The sequence below is a fragment of the Homo sapiens genome, chromosome 8 (genome assembly GCF_000001405.40).
Source record: "Homo sapiens chromosome 8, GRCh38.p14 Primary Assembly".
Taxonomy (NCBI): Eukaryota; Metazoa; Chordata; class Mammalia; order Primates; family Hominidae; genus Homo; species Homo sapiens.
Window position 1 is genome coordinate 59260326 of NC_000008.11, and position 3255 is coordinate 59263580.

The following is a 3255-nucleotide window of genomic DNA, read 5'->3' on the forward strand; positions in this document are numbered from 1 at the left end:
CCTATCATAATGAAAATAAGGTATATGAGCTAAACATATATTTAGGTTAGAATATAATTGAAGAAAATTAATACTTGATTTAAATTTGCACGAGGGAAGATTTGAATCTGAGATGAAAAGTGATAATTGTGACTAAATTTAAGTATAGTCCTTGAAACCACTTTCTAAAGTTCTCTCAGATATTCCATTTATATAGTCTTTCCTATTCATCATAATATATTAGTTACTTTGAGAAAATTAACTTTATGCTTTCACCAATCCTACATTAATATCATTAACCCCATTTTACAGCTGAAGAATCCAGAACTTACTGGGCAACCCACACAGCTGGAAAAAGAAAAAAAAAGGCCTGGATTTTAATTCAACCCTGTCTGAGGCAAAGAGCCTGTTCTTTGACGCTGAGACACCCATTCTGCCATGAGTTGTGTCTTGCTCTGCAGCCCATTCACTTTCCAACAATGCCTAGTGGTGAGGGATTGGGCTTTATATGGGCATGGCCATGAGCTGACTCTCGAATGGCTCTGCCAACCCTTCCCAGGAAATGGCCCAAGGCTGGGCACGCTGTTCTGCTTCCCCCATCCCCAATCCCGAGTTACCTTCTTTGTGCAAGGAGCTAATTTGACATGGGGTTGAGTGTTAATGAGTCACACCACTCAAGAAATGGCTGCTTTCTCCCCACAACTCTCTATGCTAGACCTGCTGGGGGAAGCACCTGAAGTTAGCATTGCCCAAAGTGTTTTGAGGAACTAGTCTGTGTTAGAAGAAAAATAGACTCTGTGGTCAAAGAACTGCAAACAGTTGGTCTGTGTCAACTTTAAGAGGGTCAGAGTCTTTAACGTGTTAATCTGCTTCACTGGTTTCCAAGAGACAAAGTTAACATATAAGATACCCCAAATATATTTGACCACATCTAGCTGGTTTTATTTTTTTAAATAGAGCCTTTTAGGAGAATAGTATTCTGTGTAAGATACTTTAAAAATTGTTGGCTTGACCTAAAGAAGTGGTGGGAATTTCTGAAGCCCTTAATAGGTGATTAGGGGACACATTTTGGGAAGTTTTCCCTTTGTGATATTTGAGTTATATCACATTGGTAGTGTTTGTTTTTATGTGGCTGACCCTACTTCTGATACTCTCCTTAGTATCACCTTGGGCAACCCTTTTCGGGAAAACTTCATTAAGTAGACGTTGTCCTGGAATGTGTGAGTGCTCCTGGCTGAGAATGGGGTTTGAAGAACAGAAACAAGTACCCGGAGCCAAGAAGAAAGTCTGAATCCAGGAGGTCCCGAGCACATATGCGCACATATGCAATCACCAGATAAAGCAGGCAAGGGTTTCTTTTTTCCTGTGGAAGCATCGCAAAAAAGGTGAGTCCTGAGGGCAATTTTATAGGAGGGGGGACTTTGGCAGGAGCGTGCTAAGTCTCCGGACGAGGCAGGGAATGTGTGAGACTAGAAAAGGTGAATCACATCCTGGAGAAAGTAAACAATTGATTTCCGTGCCCTCTATGTCCAAGCACATCGAATTAAGTTTACTCCCCTTTCTAGAAGAGGGGAAAACATGGGGAAAAGGAGGACACCTATGATCTCATAACTCTTTCCTGCCGACCCTTTTATACTACAGCCTTTCTCCTTGGCTCCAGGTACTTGTTTTTGTTCTTCCATCCCCATTTTCAGCCAGAAAATCCCTGAAGAGTTTCCTCTAAGTAGACGCATTCATACTTTAAAAAATATTGTTGATTGAACAACCACATTAGAGAAAATGAATATTTTTTAAGCTCAAAATTGGGTTCTTGGAAATTAAAAGAATACAAAATAATGTCCAGGAGCAATAACCCTACTAGAAGAGCCTTAGAAGCAGCCAGATGGAAGATACCTTTAGCCTGCATGCAGGGAGGAGGCACGACAGAGCCTCGCGAAGGAAGGAACAGGCGCTCATCCATCTCCTGTTCTCAGCCCGCACCACTCCATCCTGCCTGCTCGCCCTCTCCTGATTTCCCTCTCACCAGTGGCACCTTCTGGGCGTCACTCTCTATATAAAACTCATGCTAATTTTGTACACAGGAGGGAAACTGGCCTTTTAACAACATAAATTGGATTAAATTATTTCCCTTGCTCAAAACTATTCAGTGGCTCTCTGCCTTTAGAATGATGTTTATATCCCTCACTGGCACCAGTGAAGCCCAGCACACGCACCTCCCCAGCACCCAGCCTCGGCTCCCTCCCTCTCTCCTCCTTTCCGAGGTGAACACATCACCTGGACTGGCTTTGATTTTGCACCTTGGAGCTTTTGTGCATAATTGTTCTCCGGTTCTTATCTTCCTCTTTTGTCATTAGGGGTTGGCAAACTATGGCCCACAAACTGGTTTTGGCCTTTGCCTTGTTTTTGTAAGACCCTTGAACTAAGTAAAAATCATTTCTATGCTTCTAAAGAGTTGTAGAAAAAATATGCAGTAGACATGAAATGTGGTCTCCAAACTCCCAAATATTCACTGTCTTGCCTATTATAGCAAGTTTGTCAACTCCTATCTAAATTCATTTGTCTCTACCAATGCATTCTAGTTATGTTCTTTATATCGCATACCTCACCTTGCAATTATATTCTTCTTAGGGTCCTTAGTTATTGAAGGTCTGATTCCTTTCTACCTCTGCAAGGACAGAGGTCATCCTTGCAGAATTCTTGAGTGTACGGCTCAGTGTCTCCCACGTGTCTTGCTGCCATGAGTGCTAAATATATATTTCTGTTTCACTTCCCAGTTCAACTTCTCAGGTGTCCTTTAATGGTTGGTGCTCCTGCTCATATCACACCAGGTTAGTTACCATTTCTGTGCTTACCTTTGTGTAATTGGTCACATGTAATTTCTGCATTAGGAAACCCAGTTCAGTTGTGGGAATAAAACTTGTACACATTCCTTTCCAGCACATGTGAATTCAGCAGTGTGACCCTGCATTTCTAGGGTTGTGCATAAGGGCTACCTATTGTGAGTTTCACAGACTTACCAGTATTCCTGTGAAGAGTCGGGAGGCTGGGCCCCGTGACGTTGCAGTTACAGCATCGCATAGGCAGGCTGGAGACCGTTCTTGTGTTTGTCTGAGCACTGATGATCTGTCTGGTTGAATCCTCTGTCACTGAAACTTAAGAGCAACAATTCTGAAATGTTAGAAATTGGATTACTGTTGATAATTGTCTTTCTATAACCATGGAAGGTCCATGTTAATAATTCTCTGCCATACTATTCAAAGATGATATCTGTTTAAG

General features: G+C 42.0%; 1 annotated feature.

The window, feature by feature from the left end:
- Positions 571 to 620: an enhancer, noted in NCBI's record as "active region_27416". NCBI's record gives its function as "activates an Ori minimal core promoter by ATAC-STARR-seq in GM12878 lymphoblastoid cells {active_cell/tissue: GM12878}" and the evidence as "EXISTENCE:reporter gene assay evidence [ECO:0000049][PMID:35858748]".